Source organism: Homo sapiens, chromosome 2 (genome assembly GCF_000001405.40).
Source record: "Homo sapiens chromosome 2, GRCh38.p14 Primary Assembly".
Taxonomy (NCBI): domain Eukaryota; kingdom Metazoa; phylum Chordata; class Mammalia; order Primates; family Hominidae; genus Homo; species Homo sapiens.
In genome coordinates this window covers 210089235-210114591 of record NC_000002.12, presented here as the reverse complement: position 1 = coordinate 210114591, position 25357 = coordinate 210089235, and the positions used below count along the sequence as shown (strand labels likewise).

At 34.6% G+C, this 25357-nt stretch overlaps 1 protein-coding gene across 18 annotated transcripts in view; it reads left to right on the top strand.

The window, feature by feature from the left end:
* KANSL1L (KAT8 regulatory NSL complex subunit 1 like) overlaps window positions 1-25357 on the top strand; it is a 151340-nt gene that overhangs the window by 58169 nt on the left and 67814 nt on the right. For 12 of the 18 annotated variants that reach the window (XM_047443489.1, NM_001307976.2, NM_152519.4 and 9 more), the window contains exons 4-5: window positions 10291-10488; window positions 16385-16506. In XM_047443489.1, the coding sequence (XP_047299445.1) occupies window positions 10291-10488; window positions 16385-16506 (320 nt within the window). Of the gene's footprint in view, window positions 1-9487; window positions 9566-10290; window positions 10489-16384; window positions 16507-17098; window positions 18288-25357 lie in introns of those variants that run through there. The other 6 variants (XM_047443493.1, XM_005246334.6, XM_047443492.1 and 3 more) reach the window with 4 other exon arrangements.

Below are 25357 nucleotides of genomic sequence, written 5' to 3'. Positions count from 1 at the left end.
TACAAACTAGTGTTACAATAATACTAGCTGTTATAATTATGCATGTATTTAACTTCATTGAGATTTTTCTTTCATCATACAGCTTTAAGTTACTATCTACGTCTTTCATTTCACCTTGCATGACTTCTTTAAGTATTTTCTGCAGAGTAGGTCTACTGGTAAATGACTCTCTCAGCTTTTGTTTACTTGAGAGTGTCTTAATTTTTTTTACCTTTGAAGGACAATTTTCCCGAATAGAATAGGATTTTGGGTTGGCCAGGGTTTGTTGTTGTTGTTGTTGTTATTTTGTCTTGTTTTCTTTTGTTTGTTTTTTGCTTTGAATATGTTGACCTAACTGCCTTTGGACCTCCAAAGTTTATCATAAGAGGCTACTGATAGTATTACGGAGGATCCCTTGCATGTGCTTCTCTCTTGCCGCTTTCAAGATTCTTTCTTTTTGTCATTCAGTAGTTTGATTATAATATGTTTCTTTGTAGTACTCTTTGGATTCATCTTATTTGGAGCTCATTCAGCTTTTGATATTTGTAATCATGTCTTTCATCATATCTGGGAAGTTTTTAGCCATTATTTCTTCAAATATTCTCTCTGCCTGTCTTTCTCTTCTTTTTCTGGAACTCCCACATTTATATGTTGGGCCACTTAATAGTGTTCCACGTGTCCCTTAGACTTTGTTCACTTTTCTTTAATCTGTTTTCTTTTTATGCTTTGCACTTGATTATTTTTACTGTCCTGGCTTCAAGTTCATTGATGTTTTTCCTGCCTGTTCACATTTGCCTTTGAATACCTCTAGTGAATTTTTCATTTCAGTTATTATACTTTTCAGCTCTAGAATTTCTGTTTGGTTTCTTTTCAGGTTTTCTATCTCCATATTGATGTTTGCATTTTGTTCATAACATCTTTTTCTTGACTTTTTCACATCATTTTTTTAGCCTTTTGTGCATCTTTAAGACAGTTGTTTTAAAGTCTTTGTCTAATAGATCTTCCATCCTGTTTTCAGGGACAGTTTCTGTTTATTCTTTTTTTTCCTTTGAATGCTCCATTTTTCCTGTTTCATTGTATGCTTTTTGTTTTTTTTGTTGTTTTTGGAAACTGGACATTTGACTCTAATAATGGAAATCAGATTCTTTCCCTTTCTGCAGGACTTTTAAAATCATTTTTGTTTATTATTTTGTTTTTCTCTATTGTTGTAGGTTGTCGGTGTGGCAAGAATAAGCCTGAAGTGTATAGTTAAAATCTTATTTTTTCTGAGCCTGCACGTTTTCTTGGAAATGCCCAGTTGCTTTCTAATTTTCCCCATTGGTGCAGTTGTTTTAAAATGTCCTGCTTTTAATGTCTGGCTCCCAAAAGGGGAAAAGAGAAAAATGAAGAGAGGATTTTTTTTTAAAGGGTGCTGGCCCTTTAAATCCCCAGGAAGGCCTTCTGCCAGAGGAGGAGGGAATTGCAATAAAAGGAGGGAGGTACTACAACAATGGTTGCCTCTTTGTCTGTACCTCTGTGATCAAAGGTTGCAATCAGTGATCAGAACACAGATCCCTAATATTTGCAGAACAGGGTCCTTTTCCCCTACCCTGACTTATGCAGGCTGTATATAGATTGCTTCAGAAATGTATGAATGGCTGCCTGCCATGGGACTAGGTGTGGGGATGGGTAGCTGCTATTGTGCTAAGAGCTAAAATTGATGAAAATTAACTGCACATTTACTGTCCAAGCCTGCCCTTTGAACTTGCAAGTCTTCAGTAAACTCCAGATTTTTGAAGTAATGACATTAGACAGATTCTGCCAATGCAGGTGGTGTCTAGGTGGGGTGACAGATTCCTGGTGGTTCCTGTTCCAACACATAGAAACGATAAATATTTGTGGTGATGGATATGCTAATTACCCTGATCTGATCACTATACATCATATGTATTGAAATATCATTATATATACCATAAATATATACAATTATTATTTGTCAATTAAAAAATAAAGTAGAAAGAAATAAGAGACATGCACTGAAAGGAGTTTTTGACATTTGGGTCTCTGGACACTTAAACTTTGTGTCTTTGTACATCTCAGAATATCTTCATTTTACCCTCACTCTTAAATGGTATTTTACTTTGGTGTTAAATTCTAGTTTGACAGTTATTTTTCTTTAGCACTTTAAAGATGTGTTTTATTGTTTTGTTTGATACTGAGGAGAAGTCTACTGTCAATGTGATTATTTTTCTTTTCTGGGTACTGTCTTTTCTATCTGGTACCTTTAAGATGTTCTTGTTGTATAAGGTGTAAGGAAGGGATCCAGTTTCAGTTTTCTACATATGGCTAGCCAGTTTTCCCAGCACCATTTATTAAAGAGGGAATCCTTTCCCCATTGCTGTTTTTGTTAGGTTGCTGCTATGAAGACACATGTACATGTATGTTTATAGCGGCACTATTCACAATAGCAAAGACTTGGAACCAACCTAAATGTCCAACAACGATAGTCTGGATTAAGAAAATGTGACACATATACACCATGGAATACTATGCAGCCATAAAAAATGATGAGTTCATGTCCTTTGTAGGGACATGGATGAAGCTGGAAACCATCATTCTCAGCAAACTATCACAAGGACAAAAAACCAAACACCGCATGTTCTCACTCATAGGTGGGAATTGAACAATGAGAACACATGAACACAGGAAGGGGAACATCACACACCAGGGACTGTTGTGGGGTGGGGGGAGGGGGCAGCGAGAGCTTTAGGAGGTATACCTAATGCTAAATGATGAGTTAATGGGTGCAGCACACCAACATGGCGCATGTATACATATGTAACAAACCTGCACGTTGTGCACATGTACCCTAAAACTTAAAGTATAATAATAATAAAATTTTTTAAAAAAAGTTAAAAAAAAGAAAAAAAAAGATGTTCTTGTTTATTTGATGTTCTGCATTCTTACTAACAGGTATCAAAGGATTGTCTTTATGTTGCTTAGTACTCAGAGTACACATTTTTAACTATACAGTTCACTGAATTTTGACAAATATCTACTCTTGTAACCATCACTATGATCATAATGTAGGACATTTCTATAACCTTCAAAAATGTCATTCCTTCCTCTTTGCGGTCAATCTCTTTCCTTCAGGCTCTTTTCTCTGGCAACCACTAATCTGTTTTCTATTGCTATAGTTTTGCCTTTTCTAGAATTTCATATAAGTCAAATAATAAAACATTAATCTCTATTTTGCTCTTTCACTTAGCATAATGCTTTTAGGTTCATCTTTGTTGCTGTATATATAAGTAATTTTTTCTTTTTTATTGTTGAGCAGTATTCCATTGTAGGATTGTACTATAATTTGTTTATCTGTTTCCTAGGTCATGGAAATTTAGGTTGTTTTAGTTTTTGGCTATTATGAATAATGCTGCTATATATATTCATCTATAAGTTTTAGTGTAGACATGTTTTTTTTTTTCAGAGTCCACATTCATTTGTTTTAATTTCTTTTATATTTTTGAGACAGGGCCTTGCTCTGTTGGCCAGGCTGGAGTGCAGTGGCATGATTACGGCTCACTGCAGCCTTGACCTCCCAGGCTCAAGCGATCCTCCCGCCTCAGCTTCCTGGGTAGATGGGACTACAAGAATGCACCAGCGCACCTGGCTAATTTTTGTATTTTTGGTGGGTTTGGGGTTTCGCCATGTTGCCCAGGCTGGTCTCAAGCTCCTGGGCTCAAGCTATCCACCTGCCTCAGCTTCTTAGCCTCAGCCTCTTAAAGTGCTGAGATTACAGGTATAAGCCACTGCACCCAGCCCAGAGTCCATGTTTAGTCCAAGGTGTTACATCTTTCTTCAAGTCTAGCATATTCTCTGCTACTATCATCCAAATATTGTATGTTTGTCAATTTTTTTCTCTTCCATTTTTGTGAAATTCTCATAGATTGAGAGGTTCAAACAAATTTTTCATGTCTCTTAACCACTCTTTAATTTTTTAATCTCATTTGTCTCTCTGTACCACAAGGAATTCTTTACTGTCTTTTAATTTGCTAATTCTGTCTTTGACCATATTCTGCTTAGACTTTGTCCTGTATATTGGCTTTTACATTGGCTTTTACTTTGTGATAATGCTTTTTATTGATAATTTCTAATTAGGTCATTTTCAAACCTGTTTAAAAACATAAATGAAAAGGAATAGGTTTCTAGAAATTCAAGGCCTTACGAAGTTAGCAAAACTGCCTCTCTCTACACTTTATATGATAAGAGATAGGATTGAGAAAACCTTTGAATAATAAAGGACCAAAGTGATTTGGAGCTAAATATCAGACTAAGGATACCATCCTCTGCAAAACCTTTGAGCTGGATAAAATTACACTTAGTGCAGTGGAGGAAGATTAAGAATGTGGATTTTCCATCAGAACTTAATAGCTTATGAGAATCCCCACAAGGAAGCAGAGAAAGAGGAACGGGAGAAAGGAGTATGTAGGTAGGTATAGGGGTTAGAGGGTGAAAGAAATATCCTTTGAGAATGCATCAGAGAACTGTGGGTGTGATTGTCAGTACATGGAACTGCCTGAAAACAGAGAGATGGGAAGCCTTCTGAGTTTCTGAGTGAGTTCTACCAAAGAAATTACAAGCTTGGCCTATAAAAAGCCTTTTACTGGCCAAGACTTAAACCAGTCCTTAGGACGCCAACCTTCTATGAACAAGAAGCAGGTTAAGAGCTTTGCAGTTCCTAAAGAAGTCAAAAACATTTACTGATATTGCCAAGGAAGGTAATATAAAAGAAAGAAGCTTTATATTTATATTTATATTACCAATATAAATTTTAAATTTATATTACCAAGGAAGGTAATATAAAAGAAAGAAGCAGGCTGATTCAGGAGCCATAGAGAACAGTGAATAGAAAGAACCCTTTAATAGGAAGCACAAATTAGGGCCTAATTAAGCCATACACCTAGGGTAAGAAGCTCTCACAATATTGGTCCAGCAGAATGTTAGCATTAATATAGACCAATAGCTGACATATATTCTTTATTCTTTACATTTCCAAGTGGGAATGTTCATTGTGATCTATTTTTCCCAAAGAATCAGCGATACAAATGAGTTCTTATGCAATCTAAATATTGCTAAATATTTATTTGTAACCTTGTTTTTGTGGGAAACAGTATTCTATATGGTCATACTGTAGACATCCTGGAGATAATCTAATATTGAAGGTTGATAGGGATAGGTCTGAAAAGGAAAAAGCTGAGAAGGGAAGGGATCAGAGTCCTTGAACCATGTAGTTTGCCTAGCCTCTCCTAGGGGTCTGCACATCCACAAAGATTAATAAATTTTAGGCTCTATCTATCATGAGTTTATATTCTGGTAAGGGAGATAAAACCTATAATCGTTTCAATATATGTAATATATTCGGTAATACCTGTTTTTTTAAAAAATTATACTTTAAGTAGAATACCTGTTTTTCTAAGATATTTGAAGGGCCATAGAGAGAATACTTATGGGTCAGAGGGTCAGAGAAAACATTAAGAGAAGAAAGTGACATCTCAGTATGACTTTGGGGGATGAACAGTAATTTTTTGATGAACCAATGGAACTAGAAAAAGGCGTTTTTTACAGGTTTGAAGGTGTGAAACAACATGATCATTTTCAGGAATGACAAAGTAGTATGGTATTTAAAGGAGCAGAAAGTATGTGTTATACAAGAAAAGGAACAAAAGCTAGGAAGTGATGAAGTATGTTTAATACTTGGTAGCAATTAGTGGTGGTGTCTATAGGAAGGTAGGAAGAAGGATAGACATAAAACCTTAGGCTTACTAGTTCTGTGAGATTTGAGGGAACCACATTCACTAAGTGTTTCCTGATGAAAGTTTATTAGTTACTTTTTCTCATTGTTCACTGTTATCTTTACAGGAGCCTTCAGTTTACAATTACCCAGTCGTTTCAAGATCACCGCATAATCTCTCCTCTTTGATCATTTTCCATAAAGGATATAATTTCACACGTTTTTTATAGCAAATAGAGTTCTAAGAATGAGTCAAGTATAAAACAATTTAGATATTTCAAAGAAAGTGGGTTTGCAGTTACATTGATGAATAAGATTTATATTTCAATCTAGACAGTCTGATTCATAATCCTTTAACTTAAGAAAGGATATTTTAATATTCTATATTTTCTAAGCAGTACTGTATACTTCTTGTTTAAACTCTTTTAAAAGCTTGATTGCAACATCTACTGGAATAAATTGTTTTAAGGAAAGACGTATAAACTTCCCTGTAATAACTTATATGACCTTACCTTTTTCTTAATTCAGGATAAATGTGTATCTGGCCCTTTGTTCCTTTAAGAATATCATTATGTTTATTTTATGGAACATGCCACAAAATTAGGTTATTAGAATACAATGTTTTTGTTATTTTAGTAGTTTCTCATTACATTTATTAGGAATTAATCAAAGTGTTTAGTTGTTTATATGCAACTTAGTTGAAATGTTATTATATAAGAAAAACATCACTTTCCTTGCTCTTATAGCTTCTTGAGTTATTGTAAGAAAAAAATTGAGAAGGATGGCCAGTACTGTCTTGAAATAGAACTTTCTGTTTAATGTATTTTAAATGTAAAAAAAATTGTTCTCACTTAAGTTAGAGATAAAGGGAAAGGAAAGAGATTGAGAGATGCTGTTTTGTAAATATCCTGTTTCAATAAGTGCTAGTTTGTGCCTTAAGTCAGAAAACACATCATTTGCCCCTTTACCATTCTTCTTATGGTCTAAACTTTGCTTAAATTTTCAGAGGAGAAGGCCAGGCATGGTGGCTCAAGCCTGTAATCCCAGCACTTTGGGAGGCCGAGGCAGGCGAATTACAAGGTCAGGAGATTGAGACCATCCTGGCTAACACGGTGAAACCCCATCTCTACTAAAAATATTTTTTAAAAAATTAGCCGGGCGTGGTGGCGGGCACCTGTAGTCCCAGCTACTCGGAAGGCTGAGGCAGGAGAATGGCGTGAACCCGGGAGGCAGAGCTTGCAGTGAGTCAAGATTGCGCCACTGCACTCCAGCCTGGGCAATAGAACAAGACTCTGTCTCAAAAAAAAAAAATATATATATATATATTTTTTTTTTGAGGAGAAGAAAGCAGTTATTAGCAACATCCTTTGGTGGTTCTTGCGACAGCTTTGTCAACATATTACAGATTCCTATATTTCCTCTTCTCCCTGCTTCAAACTTTCTAATAAGACAACAGATTCTTCTCACCCTCAGAAAAAAATTGAAATATTTTTCTTGGGAGAACACTGGCTATATCAAATGGTTTCTCTCTTAGATTTCTTTTGTTATCCTGCAGTAGGGGCTTCCACATTTTAAATTGTACCTTTTGTGTGTTTTAAATTTTTTATTTAAAGTTTTACTTAAAATTAACTTTAGTGAATTTATGTGAATAATAGAGATGTTGCTGAGGCAGTTCTTTTTTCACACAGTGTTTTCTCTGTGAAGACCCTGCATTGTCAGGATTTCTCTTCTCAGAAACAGTTGATTTGCTTTCATCTTATGCTAGAGTTTTGACTTGTTTCAGTTGTTGTAACTCGTTTTTCTAAAAATATTTTTTGTCTTTCTTATCTATGTTGTTTTACATATCAGAATATCCTTTTACTAATTTTTTTAAGAACAGAAACTCTCTGCTGTGTCCCCAGAGGATTAAATATAAATATTCAACCCTTTCCTCTCCATTCTTGGCAGTGGTGGATCAGAATGGGCCACTCTCCTCACACTCCAACAGTTTTGTCCAGGGTAGTAGTTTATGGAGGAAAAAACAGATTATGAAGTTGACTATGACGGTCTCCCTGGTTGAATTTTAATTTTTTTTTTTTTTTTTGACAGAGTCTCTGTCACCCAGGCTGGAGTGCAGTGGTGCGATCTCGGCTCACTGCAACCTCCTCCTCCTGGGTTCAAGCAATTCTTTTGCCTCAGCCTCCCAAGTATCTGGGACCAAAGGCATGTGCCATGATGCCCAGCCAATTTTTGTACTGTTAGTAGAGACAGGGTTTTGCTATGTTGGCCAGGCTGGTGTTGAACTCCTGGCCTCAAGTGATCCACCTGCCTCACCCTCCCAAAGTGCTAGGATTACAGGCGTAAACCACCATGCCCTGCCTCCCTGGTTGAATTTTAAAAATATAATTCTTTATTAAACTAACTATAGCAGGCTTTGTACTTATAGAAAGGTAGTATTCTAAAGGTTTGGAAATAGAACTTTGAAATTCAGAGTAGAGTTTTCCCATAGATGCAGATTTATAAATATGGATTCTGAAATCAGACTAATCTATACAGACTGATATCAGACTAATCTATACAGACTGGCCCATACTATAAACTGGAATCAAACCAAAGACAATTGCAGTTAAATTGATAAGGTGGAACTTGTGTTTCTTTGACATGCAGGTACTTGTGGAGAAACCTAGTGAGAGTAGGTTTGAAATTTCCTCTTCTCCCTGCTTCAAACTTTCTAATAAGACAACAGATTCTTCTCACCTTCAGAAAAAAATTGAAATATTTTTCTTGGGAGAACACTGGCTATATCAAATGGTTTCTCTCTTAGATTTCTTTTGTTATCCTGCAGTAGGGGCTTCCACATTTTAAATTGTACCTTTTGTGTGTAGACTTGTAGAAATTTTGAATGGATACTCTCAAGAGCTTTTCAGACTAATGATACCATATCTATTATATCTAATTTATTTTTTTAAATACCAAATGAAATAAGAACTTTTGAGCATGTTTCTTCAGATTTCTTGACGGCCATATTTGTTCATTCTAAGAAAACAGTAATTGGGATCAAGTGGCTCCCCTTCTCCTTGGAAAAGTCAGCATGTTAGCACTATTCAAAATGTAGATTTTTTTAAAAAGCGCATTTACTACTTTTACCAAAAATTTTACTACAAAATAATAAAATATACATTTAATACCATAACTGAATATGTGCATTCTAAAGTTATATATTCTCTAAATTACATAGTGTAAACTAAAACTCATATATAACACATTATTATCTATAGGCAATTTCCATCTTATAAATAAGACTTATGCATGATGTAGGTGGCCCACAGCAATCATTTAATTCATTCCATTTTTGAAATAATGCACACTAATATTAATGTTAGTTTATTTTTTATTACAATAATATAGTATTTTAGCCACATTAGGAGTGTAATAATTTTCCAACTAGCCTATAGGAATTTATTAGCATGTTTCAAATATATATATATATATTTTTTTTCAAATATATATATATATTTATATATGTAAAACCTGTGTGTGTATATAATATATAATATATGTAATATCAGTATATATATAACATAATATCTGTGTATGTGTAATATATATATGGTATATATTACTGTATTATTTTCAGGAGGAAGGGTGGTAGAATAGATAGGAAGGAAAGAAATTTTACAGTGGGAACTGATTATGAAACCATTAAGATCATGCCTTTGCACTCCTTTTTTCTCTTTCTCTGTTGTCTCCATTGCCTCTGAGGAACCTAAAGTTGAGAACAGTTGGAGTGAGGAAGCTGGGGAATGGAGGAGAAAGCCGAGCAAACCAGTTGAGGAATAAGTATGTTTGTGAGTAGGAGGCAGAGAGTACAGAGACAACTTGATCCCTATTCATTCCCCCAGTTCCTTACATTTCAGAATATACCCCATCAAAGTTGAAAGCTTGTGTCTTTATTATTAACACAGCTACCCTGAAAGCAGTGGGAACTTTGATTGGCCTAGAGAGTACTTTTTCTCAGTGGTGCAGTCCTATCCCTGGTTGCTGGCTGACAGCAACAGGGGCAGGGCTCCTTAGGGTGCTCTGAAAGGAGTTAGGATAGAGTTAGATTGTTGTTTGGATGTTTGTAAATTTGGTGTTTTAATTTATAAAATTGGGAGTGCTCAAATGTAAAGCACAAATAGCAATGCTAGTGATGAAAATATCAGGAGATTCTATCAGGAAATATTCTAGATTTCAATCTGAAATGTCCATGTTCTGTGTATAATATGCCTTTTTTTATTTTAATATGTCATGCTTTTAATGCCAATAATTAAAACCAATTAGAAAAAAACTGCATGTATTTAAGTTAAGAAAATATTTTACAAGTCCAACCTATCAACCATACATGTTATTTTAGCTACATGTGTTTTAAACCAGCCAGTTCTTTACAGAGTTAAACTATCAAGTTTATATTTTCTGAATTCCAAGAGATAAGTGGAAGCATAGATTCAAGTGCATTGTAGCATTAAAGGTGGCTTAATAATAAGTTTGTTTTCATTTCAACTTTCTCATTGTTTTTTGTCTAGGGGATAGTGGTCCTAGAAGAATGTCAGCTTCCAAAAGATATTTTGAAAAAACAAATGCAATTTGCAGACCAAGCAGCTTCACTAAACATTCTAGGGAATCCTCAGGTTCCCCAGGAGTGTCAAGATCCTGTACCGGAACAAGATTTTGAAATGTCACCAAGCAGCCCTACTTTACTTCTTCGAAACATCGAAAAACAGGTAAAGTCAAAGTAAGGATATCAGTGGTATGAAATGACTTTTCATTGATTTTGTAAACTATTCAAATAAACATCATTATATGTGTATCTTCCTGGCATATGTGTTATTAAACTAGGCCATCTGGCATTAAATACAATTAAAATATTTGACATATGACCAGTCTCCATTATAATACCAATATAATTTAAATTATTTAAATATAATATGTAAAGTAATGGAATTGGTATGGCTATAGGATGATAATTTATTTTTACAGGGATTAGAAAATCCTTTTTCTAACAAAATTGTTTATCATTGGATTTTTTTCAAGGAGAGAGAACAATTGTACCAGTTAATATGTCTGAATGGTTGTTTGACTAATTTATTGAACAAGATTTTTAGTGAAAGATAATATTGGAATATGGATTTGTTCATAAAAAATGATTATGTAAATGGAAAGTCAAGAAAGCTCCTAACAATTACTTTGATTCCAAAGCCTTCCTTGGTATCTAAATTCTATTGTGGATAACTCCACAAGCTTAATTATTCTGGCCAGTCTATCCTGTATCTGTCCTTGGAAATCCAACAATTTATTTTGATTTAGACTTTAGTGGCTCTTAAACAAACTCAGTTTCTAGGACTTTTTTTTATTATTATTATACTTTAAGTTCTAGGGTACATGTGCACAACGTGCAGGTTTGTTACATATGTATACATGTGCCATGTTGGTGTGCTGCACCCATTAACTCGTCATTTACATTAGGTCTATCTCCTAATGCTATCCCTCCCCCCTTCCCCCACCCCATGACAGGCCCCGGTGTGTGATGTCCCCCTTCCTGTGTCCAAGTGTTCTTCTCATTGTTCATTTCCCACCTATGAGTGAGAATATGCGGTGTTTGGTTTTTCGTCCTTGTGATAGTTTGCTCAGAATGATGGTTACCAGCTTCATCCATGTCCCTACAAAGGACATGAACTCATCCTTTTTTATGGCTACATAGTATTCCATGGTGTATATATGTCACATTTTCTTAATCCAGTCTATCATTGATGGACATTTGGGTTGGTTCCAAGTCTTTGCTATTGTGAATAGTGCCTCAATAAGCATACGTGTACATGTGTCTTTATAGCAGCATGATTTATAATCCTTTGGGTATATACCCAGTAATGGGATGGCTGGGTCAAATGGTATTTCTAGTTCTAGATCCTCGAGGAATCGCCACACTGTCTTCCACAATGGTTGAACTAGTTTATAGTCCCACCAGCAGTGTAAAAGTGTTCCTATTTCTCCACATCCTCTCTAGCACCTGTTGTTTCCTGACTTGTTAATGATCACCATTCTAACTGGTGTGAGATGGTATCTCATTGTGGTTTTGATATGCATTTCTCTGATGGCCAGTGATGATGAGCATTTTTTCACGTGTCTGTTGGTTGCATAAATGTCTTCTCTTGAGAAGTGTCTATTCATATCCTTCGCCCACTTGTTGATGGGGTTGTTTGTTTTTTTCTCGTAAATTTGTTTGAGTTCTTTGTAGATTTTGGATATTAGCCCTTTGTCAGATAGGTAGATTGCAAAAATTTTCTCCCATTCTGTAGGTTGCCTGTTCACTCTGATGGTAGTTTCTTTTGCTGTGCAGAAGCTCTTTAGTTTAATTAGATCCCATTTGTCAATTTTGGCTTTTGTTGCCATTGCTTGTGGTGTTTTAGACATGAAGTCCTTGCCCATGCCTATGTCCTGAATGGTATTGCCTAGGTTTTCTTCTAGGGTTTTTATGGTTTTAGGTCTAATATTTAAGTCTTTAATCCATCTTGAATTAATTTTTGTATAAGGTGTAAGGAAGGGATCCAGTTACCACAAAAGAGCCCGCATTGCCAAGACAGTCCTAAGCCAAAAGAACAAAGCTGGAGGCAGTACGCTACCTGACTTTAAACTATACTACAAGGCTAAACAGCATGGTACTGGTACCAAAACAGAGATATAGACCAGTGGAACAGAACAGAGCTCTCAGAAATAATACCACACATCTACAACCATCTGATCTTTGCCAAACCTGACAAAAACAAGAAATGGGGAAAAGATCCCCTATTTAATAAGTGGTGCTGGGAAAACTGGCTAGCCATATGTAGAAAGCTGAATCTAGGACTTTTTTACTTTAAAGCTGAGCCATTCTTCACCATAGTTGCATCATTACATTGTTCCTCTGGGAAATTATACAGATTCATGCCTGCTTGCATCTAATTTTCCTGAGTTTTTCTGACATACAAGGAAGTAACTAAATACAGGTTACTGTCTTATTCCTGATAAACCAAAATATGGTATAATTTCTTCCACCCTGTATTTGTTAAATTTATAATTGCCCAGAGTTTTTCTTAATTGGAATGCATAATCAAAGCACTTATGAATATTTTGCAATTTAGAAAGCTGTTTGGTAATTATCTGATGTCAAATTATAATGCACTTGACCATATAAGCATTGATTTAAATTAGTTTTTGTTATATTTCTATATTCCCACTTTCCTCTTTCTTTTCCCTCCCCTCATCCTATAGGATCAACCCTTGTTCGGTTTGATCCTAGTTGTTTCACATTCTAGAGTAATTCATTTGCTTACACAGTCAAATCTACTTTTACCATCTTTAGGTCACTACTTATTCATTGGAAATTGTAATCTGTTTAAATTAATTCTAAGATATTTTCATTTCTAAAAGAGATTTCTTGTACTTTTTCCTTTCTCCTTGATATCCCCAGTTTTTTTAGGTTGGACCTGAGATGACATCAGAACTGCCTAATTTGCAGATCCTAGTGTAAAATGAAGTTGTGGAGCCCTTTGTTAAAAACAGTTATGAATTTAAAGACAGTGACAGCAGAGCACTAAGCAAGCATAGCCTCCATCTGCGCTCAGCCTGGTGCACAGGTTACATGCCCATGAAGCTGGTCCTGGGTATCATTTTAGGTCTCATTGCTGATGAAACTGTCAGGGCCTTTGATAGTATAGGGAACCAAGAGTTGTGAGAGCAGTAATGGCTCTATGTAAAGAGAGCAGAAGTAAAAGATGCAGAAAGGGCAGCAGCAATTACTTGTAGAGGTTGTTAATAAATTGCCTATGAACAAGTCATTTGTTCTTGAAATGTGGTAATAATGCTTTTTATAGGCCAAGTTTTAAAAGCTTAAGTTGTTTTTAAATACTTGGTGGCCGGGCATGGTAGCTCATGCCTGTAATCCCAGCACTTTGGGAGACCAAGGTGGGCAGATTGCTTGAGCCCAGGAGTTTGAGACCAGCCTGGGCAACACAGGGAGACCCTGTCTCTACAAAAAATACAAAAAGTAGCTGGCCTTGGTGGCACACACCTGTAGTCCTAGCTACTCAGGAGGCTGAGGTGGAAGGATCACTTGAGCCCAGGTGGCAGAGATTGCAGTGAGCCAGATGGCACCACTGCACTCTAGCCTGGATGACAGAACGAGACACTGTCTGAAACAAACAAAAAAACTTGTTGAGGAAGATAGTCTAGGAGTGAGTTAAGTGGTAGGTATGGCAAGCCCATTATTATGCATGGTTTTCTTAGGATAATCTACTGATATATAACTGTTCACTCATAATCTTTTGGCTTGACTAAAGTAGTTTTGTTAGAGTTGGAAGTTAAAATATAAAGGCACTATTGAGTTGTAGACTATCATTTAAAAAATAACATTGATTCATAGTATTAATAAATGCTTGCATTGTTAGATAATATGTAGTTCATAAATTGAAAAGTATTAATACCTTGTTTTTAGTACTTTAGGTCAGCTGTTCCCAACGTGTTTGGCATGAGGTACTGGTTTTGTAGAAGACAATTTTTCCGCAGGGTGGGGATGGGGGGATGGTTTTGAGATGAAACTGTTCCACCTCAGATCATCAGGCATTAGAGTCTTATAAGGAGCAGCAACCTAGATCCCTTGCAGGTGCACTTCACAGTATGGTTCGCGCTGCTATGAGAATCTAATGCTGTGGGTGGTCTGACAGGAGGCGGAGCTCAGGTGGTAATTCTTGCTGGCCCTCTGCCCACCTCCTGCTGTGCAGCCTGGTTTCTAACAGGCCATGGACAGGTACCCATCAGCAGCCCGGGGGTTGGGGACTTCTACTTTAGGTGATTTAAAATGAATTTGCTACTGGTGTATTTACATTATAAATCTTGTTATGAATAGCTAGTGTTTTAACTTACAGTTGATTAGTTTTTGTTTTCAGAGTTCAAATTACGCTTCTCTTAATTTTACTTTTCTTATTCACATTTTCTCTGTGACTTTTCTATTCCCCATATGACTCGGGTATGTGAGATTTTATGGGGCCAGAATAGGCTGATTCTTAGGGTAAAGATAGGGATTGTAATTTCCCCCTTCCTGGCCCATTATTCACATATATCCAATTAGCGACGTCCAGTGGCTTAAAAGATTTTAGATGATGTTTTTTGGAGGTGGAACAATGACAGGAATGTTTTAGTGTTTCCAACCGGAAGATGTGAGATACTTCAGAATTTATTTGCATGACTAATGATTACTTGCTAAATGGATAAAGAATCCATTTCTATTGGTGATTTTAAAAATGAGCTTTAATCTAAAAACTGAGTAATAATTTTTAAAATGACATCATTAGGTGCATACTATCTTCAAAATAAATGGTGAAAACATTTCAAGGTCTTTCTCATGAAAGATTTTTTGAAGGGATAAAATATTAGGCCTAATTTTATTCTATTATTTAGTCTCACTTCTAATAGCATGTTATTAGTTTCATACAAATGAAGCATTCTAAAATAATTATTTCATATACCCCTTTATTTCACAATAGAGTATCTTGCAGTATTGAAAATGTTGAACTACGTCTGTATTTTTTAAAAAGTTGGTCACACTATATTAAGTGGGAAAACCAGGTTTTAGAAAATTGATGTAGCATAATTTAATTAAAAGTATATGTGTTCATGTTGAATGTACACTCATGCTTACATATACTCAGAAAACTCAGTGTGGAAGGAGAAATATATACCTAAATGTTAGCTCTGGTTTTCTCTTTGAAGTATGATTACAGATGACTCTCTTTTCATTTTTAAAATGTCTCTATATTTTCCAGTTCTTCTATGATGAACGTGGATTACAGGTGTAATGAAAATAGTTGTCATTCTTTTGTAGAAATGTACTATTCCTTTTTATGTGGCCTTTGCTTATTATAATTGTGATTGTTTTGAGAATAATATTTATACATATTATATAATTTAATATTTATTACATATATTTAAGTCTGGGACAAATGTCAGTGAAATCTTAGGTGCTAAAAAAAAAACTCTGATATTTGTGAATTAGGAAAAATATTGAGAAACAGTGTGTTGTTAGATTTAGGCCTGAATTTGAATCCTAGTTCTATTTCATACCAGCTTTATAGCCCTTGATCAAGCTACTTAATCTTTTTTTCTTTGCTAGAATTTACTCATCTGTTCTGTTATTAATAATAGTGATGTCAGTACCTCTAATATTATCTTCTTTGCTGGTTAGTTGTAAAGATTGAAATATTCTATGTGTGGTGCCTAATATAATGCCTGGCACATAGTAGGCACTTAATAAATTGTATCTGTGATTTTTAATTATTAATTTTCCTGCCTCAAGGGTAATATTATATAAAGGCTGTTAGCTGGGTTCAAATGTGTTAGATGATGGGATGGGTAGATGAAGGAACAATAATAAAAAAAGGATATGGAAAAGAATGGGTACTTAAAGTATAGATTTATTTGTAATAAATGGAAAAATCAGTTGTATAAATTGTCTTTGTCAAATAAAACATTTACTAAAATAAAAACATGTGTGTCATGAGAAGTTAAGGATTAATTGGCACTATGCATCTGAGCTTTAACTCACATTTCTTGCTTAGCAGTAGTAAAAGGTTGACTGTTTCCTTGCAGAGTGCACAGTTGACTGAGATCATCAACAGTTTGATTGCCCCTCTCAACTTGTCCCCAACTTCATCACCCCTCTCTTCCAAATCCTGTAGCCATAAATGTCTGGCTAATGGCATTTACAGGAGGTAGGTATCAATGGAATAGCTTAGCTTTTAAATTCAACTTTGCCTATTTTATCTTATTTTGATTTTGTTTTGATATTTTAAGTATTATAGCTACTTTTTTTGTACATTAGGGGCTACTAGAGTACAATCAATATACCATGGATGCATTTTTTGATAATATTAAATTTACACAATTAAGGTAATGATAAATCTAGGAATGAGGGAGAGAGATTTCTGGGAAGTTTCATAATGTTTCTTAAAAAAAGAATAGTGGTGATAACATTTGCTGTAGAAGTACTGCCTTATTTAATATACCTTCCACTTTGTACCTTTTGTATTCTTGAGCTCCATGCTGTCGTTGCAGTGCATTTTGAGGAAAAAAGACCCTAGATATAGTTTAGGCACAGAACATTGGTAGCTATCACCCATTAGATTCAGCTTAAGTTTTAATCATTTTGTATTTTAGCTTTATATAAGGTAAATTTTTTTTACTATAATTAATAACTCCTATAAACATTAACAATTTATCTATATTAGCAAAAATATATACACTATGAATCTTAGTCCTTTTTTGGGAACAGCATTTGTTGTGCTTTGTTTCCTTTTCTCTTAGAACTTTTCCTTTTGAAGATAAAATTAGAAGACATACCAATAGAATATCATTTTATGTGTGCATTGTCTAATTTTTTTCAGATAAAATTGGAATGTTGGCTTCTTTGCTTTAATTACCATAGAGAACTAAGTGTAATTTTGGGAAATATTTGTGTTAAAAATTATATAATTTATTATTTTAATAACTTTCTAATATAGCATAAAATGAAAATTTATAGCATGGTGAAAATTATGCTAAGTAGCCATCAAATTCTTTGTGAAATTAGTGGATGTAAACAAAGTCTTAAAATAAAAAGCTGAGGTGGGCAGATTTCATGAGCTCAGGAGTTCGAGATCAGCCTGGCCAACATGGAGAAACCCCGTCTCTACTAAAAATACAAAAAATTAGCCGGGCGTGGTGGTGTGCTCCTGTAGTACCAGCTACTCAAGAGCCTGAGGCACAAGAATCACTTGAACCTGGGAGATGGAGGTTGCAGTGAGCCAAGATCACACCACTGCACTCCAGCCTGGGCAACAGAGCAAGACTCTGTCTCCAAAAAAATAAATAAATAAATAATAAAAAATAAAAAGCTGACATTTGATTTTTATTTCTAATTGGTTATTTTGAACATCTAATCTTTAATACTTTTACTATTTTATTTATGTTGAGTTATGTATCCATTGTTCTATTGTGGGAACAGTTCTATTGGTTTTGCTTTATTTTTTCTCGACTTTATATTCATTCCTCATATCAGTGATAAAACATGTTGAACGTAAAGATTCTTACATATTGTATAGGATAACTATGATATTTTCATTTATGAGAACGTATCCTAATTAGGAAAGTCATAATGTAGGTGAATGTATTTTAAGCTGCCCCATAAAACACATCAAATTGGTGTATAAGCATTGTGATTTGGGGCTAATCCCATTTTAGATAATACTTTGTTTACCTAATCAAGTACTACACAGTTACACACATAGTTACATGTGTGTGTTCATGTGTTTGTGAATTTTCATTTTAATATACTTGCCTGTATTTCTGGTCATTCATTTGCAAAGCATTGATTGCATAATTATTTATTGTATGCCACATAGTCAAGTCCTAGGGACACAAATATGAAGACAGAAGTCTTCACTTGTGAATAACTCACAGTCTGGTTGGTGAAACATGTAACTACTTAATAAAATATTATGTAATAAAAATGGAATTGTGTGTAGTTGTTTGAATACTGGCTTTTAATAACTGTTACACTTGAAAAAGATACCTCATAAAGATATGTAGATCCAAATGAAAGAAATGGAAAATTGGCCATGTTTACTAAATTACATTTTTTAATTCTGTCTACTAGTAGTTCAAAGGTTTTTGTTGGAATCAGCTACTGAATACTGTCTTTCCTCATGTCAATTAGTTGTTGCTACAACCTAATTGAAAAGGTTTGCTTTTGAAAGTTTTTAACAAGTTCAAAACCTATGAAAATGTTTTGATAGATTTAAAAGCAGACAAAAATTTTGTTCTTCACGTTTTTTGAAGTGTGCTGATACGTGTTTTAATTAATTACATTTTTGGCAACAATGAACTCTTTTTAAAATAGTTGGTACATAATGTGTGTTTCAAAAAGCATTTATTTTCCCATTTGTTGTCAAAATATCATATTTTCCTTGAAGGAAAGGTATTTATTTTCTAACATTTGCTAGATAATGTAATACTTTCTCTACTTTTTATCAAAGAGAAAGTGATCAAATTTAGAACAGTTGATAGTTATCTAAAATGCATAATTTATCTTTAAGTTTAATAGCTCTTTATAAGTGCTTTGTTACCAGATAACCAGCAAACTACCATGTAAAACAAACGATTTTGGGGGATACTCCTGACTCCTGATTTCATTAAAATGTTTTGTAAAGATTCCACAATTTGTGATAATATGTATTAAAAAATCTATAAATCTATTTAACCAGAAACATAGAAACCAGACTATATTGCAGATAAGAATAATAATAACACTGAAGGAAAAGTAGCAAATTTTGAGGAAACGTGGTCTATTGTTTCGTATGCCAAAGAGAGTACTGAAAATATCTGTTGGTTTTGTCAGTAATGTGTTGAGACTTTGGCAAGAGAGACTTTGACAAGAGCATGATGGAGAAAGAGGTAAGAGTGAATTAGTAAGAGAATTGGAGAAGAAGTAGAGAGAGGGGGTCAAGATTACCCTTCAAGGCCACTGATTTTAAAGGCTATAATAAAAGGGACATACAAAGTCACAGAAAATATTTTGTTTTTAAGATGGAGGAAATTTAAGCATCTTTATTAAAATAAAGGGAAAGGAAGGAGCTACAGGTGAGAAATGTAGAAAACACCTTATCACAAAGTTATGGAGGGATCTTATTACAGGAAAAAATATGCCTGTTCCTTAAGAGTAGCATGAAATAGATTAAGATATGTGTGGATGCACTTGTTTCTGAGGTGATTATAGACTGGTTAAGATTATAGACTAGTTAATCTGAGGTGATTATAGACTAGTTAAGACTAGTTAAAGGAGCCTGAGGAGCTTTGACAAGTAAAACATTTTTCCTTTTCCCTTATTCCTTCTCATTTTCCCTCCCCTCCTCTCCTCTCCCCTTTGTTTTTGGAGCCTGAGTAATCTACCCCTAGGAAAGGGTGTTAGTGGTTTCTAAGAATTTTTTTTTTTTAATCCCTTAACTATAAATATGTTTATAATGAAAAGTACTTAATTAATGCTTATAAAACTAGTTAAGAATTGAACTTTTAAAATATTCTCTAATTGAACTTTCTATAAAATAAGTACATAGTAGTGAAATTCTACAAATTTTAGTTTTTTAATGTTACTCATGTTTGAGAATATTACTATAGATTTTTAAAATTAATCGGAGATACAATTTTATATTATAGCATTATATGAAACAGCTTTGATTCAAAGATATCTGGATTGAAGTAATGTGAAATGGATCTCTATGAGCCTTTTGACACTGGGAGTAGAATATCAAATGAGGCCTAATTTTATTTCTTATATCTTGCTATTTTCCAATACCTTTGTTATTTTTCCTTCACATAGTTGTATATGAAGAAAACATCTTTCAGATTCAAAGGTTTTTAGGAGTAAGGGCTTAGTCTATTTAATGGTATTTCAGACTTGACACTTAAACCACAAAGCACTTTCTGAAGATGTCCTTGTTAAGCATATAAATACTTCTCGGAAGCATATAAATACTATTTATGTATTTATAATAAATGGGCAGGTAAGAAAACTCATAAGTATTTTTCAAAATTATAAAACATACATAACAAAAATTTACCATTTTAACTATTTTTAAATGTAAGTTTAATGGCATTAAATACAATCAAAATGTTGTGTAATCATCATCACCATCCATCTTCAGAATTTTTTTTATTTTCTCAAACTGAAACTCTATATCCACTAAACAATACTTCCCATTCTTCCTTGCTTTCAGCTCCTGGCCACTACCACTTTACCTTCTATATGAATTTGACTACTCTAGGTACCGTATAAGTGGGATCACATAGTGTTTGTCCTTTTGTGACAAACTTATTGTACTTAGCATAATATCAAAATTTATCTACATTATAGCCTGTGTGTTAAAATTCCCTTTTTAAGGCTGAATAATATTCTATTTTTATATAGACAACATTTGATCTGTGGATAGATATTTGATTGCTTCTGTCCCTTGGCTATTGTGAATAAGGCTGCTATTAACATGGATGAACAAATATCTGTTTGAGTCCCTGCTTTTAATTGTTTTGGGTATTCTAGAAGTGAAATTGCTGGATTATGTGATAATTCTATTTTTAAATTTTGTTTATTTCAAAAATTAGAAATTAGCAAATATTAATTGCCAAGCCAAAAGCTGAGAGAAAGCCAGAGCTCAAAAAGTAAGCAAAGCACAGCAGTCTGCTTTTTTTGAGGCTAAATTTAGACAAAATTAAATTGAAGTTTTGATATCTTTTGGGGGAAGGGAGGAGAGAAACTAAAACCAAATCCAGCAAAATCAAGCTGAAGATTTAATAGATTGTGGAATGATAAGAAGATAAATCAGGCCAGTTGAGATTCCTCATGCCTGTAATCCCAGCACTTTGGGAGGCCGAGATGGGCAAATGGCTTGAGGCCACGAGTTCAAGACCAGCCTGGCCAACGTGGCAAAACCCCGCCTCTACTAAAAATACAAAAATTAGCTGGGTGTGATGGTGCATGCCTGTAGTCCCAACTACTTGGGAGGCTGAGGCACGAGAATCTCCTGAATCCAGGAGGCTGAGGTTGCAGTGAGCCAAGATCGTGCCACTGCCCTTCAGCCTGGGTGACAGAGTGAGACTCTGTCTCAAAAACAACAACAACAACAACAGCAAAAATGAACATAGGTCAAAGCCCTTGGCTCTGCCCATGGCAGGAAGATGAAATAAAATCTTTGTATTTAGTAGAGACCATTCTCTTTCAGGGCCTATGCCATTACAGTAAAGGTACATTGGAAGTAAAACTGTTTCCCTTTCCCCACCACTAGGGACCACAGGGAGATTTGCCTTGGGGCTAAGCAGAGCAGAAGATTAAAAAAAAAAAACAAAAAACCTATCTTTGAGATGTTCTGATCATGGTGGAGACTTTTTACATGGATTTTCAATCCAAGTTTGCATCAATGAGTGATCCAAGAGATCCCTAGTTTTAAGTGGTTCTGGAATGGCAGAGGCAAATGCAGATTTCCTCTGGAGGAAGGCACCTTTTTTAGCCTAGGGAAATCCTCATGAATAATTTGCCAAGGGCAGGGATTAACAAACAGGCAAATATAATCAAACATATAAGGAGACAGAGCAAGAAGAGTAAGAATAAGGAGTGCACAACAGACAGCAAAAAAAGATCATAAAGTTTTCAGATATTAGAATTACCAAACACTGATGACTTTAAAATGGTAGCCTGATTATAGAAATAAAAGATAGGCTTAAAATGCCAGCAGGGAACAAACTATATCAAGTTACATAAGCACATTTGGAAAAAGGCTAAATAAGACTTCTGAAAAATACTGAATATAATAACTAAGTAAGTGGTTTCTGCAGCAAACTGGACACAGTTGAAGAGAGAATGTGTGACATAGAAGAAGTATTAGAAGAAAAGTTCCAAAATGTAGCAAAAGATATGAAACAATGGAAAATACAGAAGAGTCATTTTAAAATGTAGAGAATATAGTGTGAAGGTCTAATATGACACTTAGTTGGAGATGTGGAAGAAGCACTATAGAAAGAAATAGAAGCAATATTTGAAGAGAGAGTGACTGAAAAATTACTTGAACTGTTGAAAGACACCACATTCAGGAAGCCAAACACAGATTTTGGATCAGGACAACTAAAAAGAAATCTACCTCTGGACATATAGGAAATGTGAAAAAACAAAGATAAATGGAATGTCCAAAAGCAACCAGAAGTGGGAGAAAGACATAATCTTAATTGAAACATAGTTAGACGGATAGCTGACTTCTCAATAGTAATAACAGGAGCCAGAGTACAGTGGAATGGTACCATTAGTATGTTGAAAGGAAATAACTGTTTACCTAGAAACTCTATACACAGAGAAATCATCTTTCAAGTCTGAGTGTGAAGGACAAACATTTTGAGACAAACCAAGGCTGGGAGAGTAGACTAGTAGACTCTAAACATAAAGGATATACTTTGGGCAGTAGTATATTATCTGGATGGAAAATTGGGATGAAGAAGGGTTCAAGAACAAATAAAATGGTAAGTAACCATATGGGCATGTGTAAGTGAACAGTAGTAAAATATGTTTTGTGGGGCTAAAAAAAGTCTATAACAGCAATAACATAGAGGTCAGAAGGAGGAAATCGATTCAGATTGCACTGAGGTGCTTGAATTATTCAGGATCTCAGTAAAAAAGTACTGATTTAGCTTTCATTATTCCTAAATTAAGTATAATAGAAGAGCTTCACATAAGAGGGGGCATTTCCTGAGTGCTAATGCTCTGTTTCTTGACCTGTGAGTGGTGGTTATGGGAAAGTGGAAGAGTAAGGGGAGTTATTGCTTCATATTTACAAGCTAAACATGAGATAAATGCTTTAAGTACTTATGCATATGTATCTTATATTTCATTTTTTTAAAAGGTTAAGAAAATAGGATATAAACTATATACTTCAAAAAGGATAAATAGAAAATAGTCACATAGGAGGTCACATTTGCCTTCATAGTTCTGAAAAAATACTTAAATGACATTATTCATCCTAAACCTATGAACAAAATTTGACTAGTCCCACAGGAATGTGATATTTAGTTTGTTGGTATGGAAACAAAAAGAATTAAATCTTATTTCATGTTACCTTAAAATTTGGTGATGGGTACTGATCTAGTTGTTGAGTTAATAATCCTTACCCTTTATCTGTCAAATCTGTCTTAATCTCAGATGTCTATTCTGTCTTTCCTGATAAAAGTCATCTTACATACTTTTAGAAGGCAATGAAAAATGTCTAAAGGAAAGGACCAATAGCTACAGTTAATTGTCCTCTGTGACCTGAAAATTAGTTGTGAATTTTGAGGTACACACTGAGCTGAAACGTGTAAATTAATACAAACATTAGATATTATAGTAGCAATATAATAATAGGAAGTTGCAGAATGTTTATAGATATAGGTAAAAAGATATATTTAAAAATAACACGGCTGGGCATGGTGGCTCATGCCTGTAATCCCAAGACTTTGGGAGGCTAAGGCAGGAGAATGGCTTGAGCCCGGGAGTTTGAGACCAGCCTAGACAATATAGTGAGACCCCATCTCTTCAAAATTTTTTTAAAATTAGCTGGGCATGGTGGTACACACCTGTAGTCCCAGCTATTCAGGAAGCTGAGGATCTCTTGAGCCAGGACAGTTGAGGCTGCAGTGAGCCATGATCATGCCACTTGCCCTCCAGCCTTGGTGACAGAGTGAGACCCTGTCTCAAAAACCCCCCAAAAACAACAAAGCAGGACATTTGGTAATTTACTGTGATAATATATACTTTGTTTTACATGATTTTAAAAATTATTGTGGTGCCTAAATATTTATATTCTCTGTTCCAAAAAATTTATAGTCTTAACCCACATTTGACAATCACTCAGTGTCCCCTCTAATCCAAGTTCTACAATAATATTATCTTAAAGGGTAAATGTTGGGCCTGTTAAAATGTAGTATGCTACTCAACAGATCACTGACCAAGAGTTCAAATGTATGTCTTACAGTAAGCATACCAGATATTGGGAGACAGTATATGGTTGTGTGAGAAGTAAATGAAACTCAGAACTTTTATAAAACATTTATAAAAACTCAGAACAAAACCTGGCACATAAGAAACAGCCTAATAATGTTAGCCATTGATATTGTAATGTGAGGACATAAAGTATATTAAACTTTTAGATATAGTCTTATTTATTTCTTATCTTAGATAGTATACTAGTCGTTGATTCAGCTATTCTTACTCTTTAAAAAAAGTGCTTTAGTGTGGCCTGAATTAGGATAAGGATTTGAGGGCATTTGTAGGTATCCCTTTGCACACAACTGTGTAGATGGCACAGTAGGCCAGCTGTTACTAAAGACATTCATTATACAGTTACTAGAAGTCAATGAGGCACTATTTTTCCGTCATCTCTTGGGAAGTTGTTTTCTTTCTTGCCTTTGGTCTACTTGCCTTTGGGACTCCGTAACTAAATCAAGCACTCTAAAAATTAGCATAAACACACCTTTGGGTTTTATTCTCATACAAAAATCTATCTCCTCAAAAGACCATCTTGGGACATTTAATCTCCCCCATGCCCCTCCCCCCAAAAAGATTTTAACTTTTTATTTTTAATCAATTGTAGTGTTTTTATAATTTAGTGGTTTCAGGGCAAAGTAGTTATGAGAATACACAACTTTTATATATTTTGTTTACTTAGACATTTTGTGACTTGGGCAGGTGTGTTAATCTCTTTACACCTCACTTCTTTATTTTAAATTTAATGGAACGTATTTTCTAAAGTAGTTACTAGTGTTAATATTCTTCCATTTTAAATATTTATTTTAAGGAATTCTATTTTTTCAAACAAATACACAGTAAAAACATAAGGGTTCCAATCCAACCTAATATGTATATCTTTATAACATCACTGTTTTGCTCTTTTGGATGTAATAATTTTGTTAGCCTAAATCAAGAGAACTGGTAAATAGAGAGAAATTACTGTACTCAATGTGTCTTAGTGACTTCAAACCCTACCCTAGAAACTATATGGAAAGAGGTATCCGTGA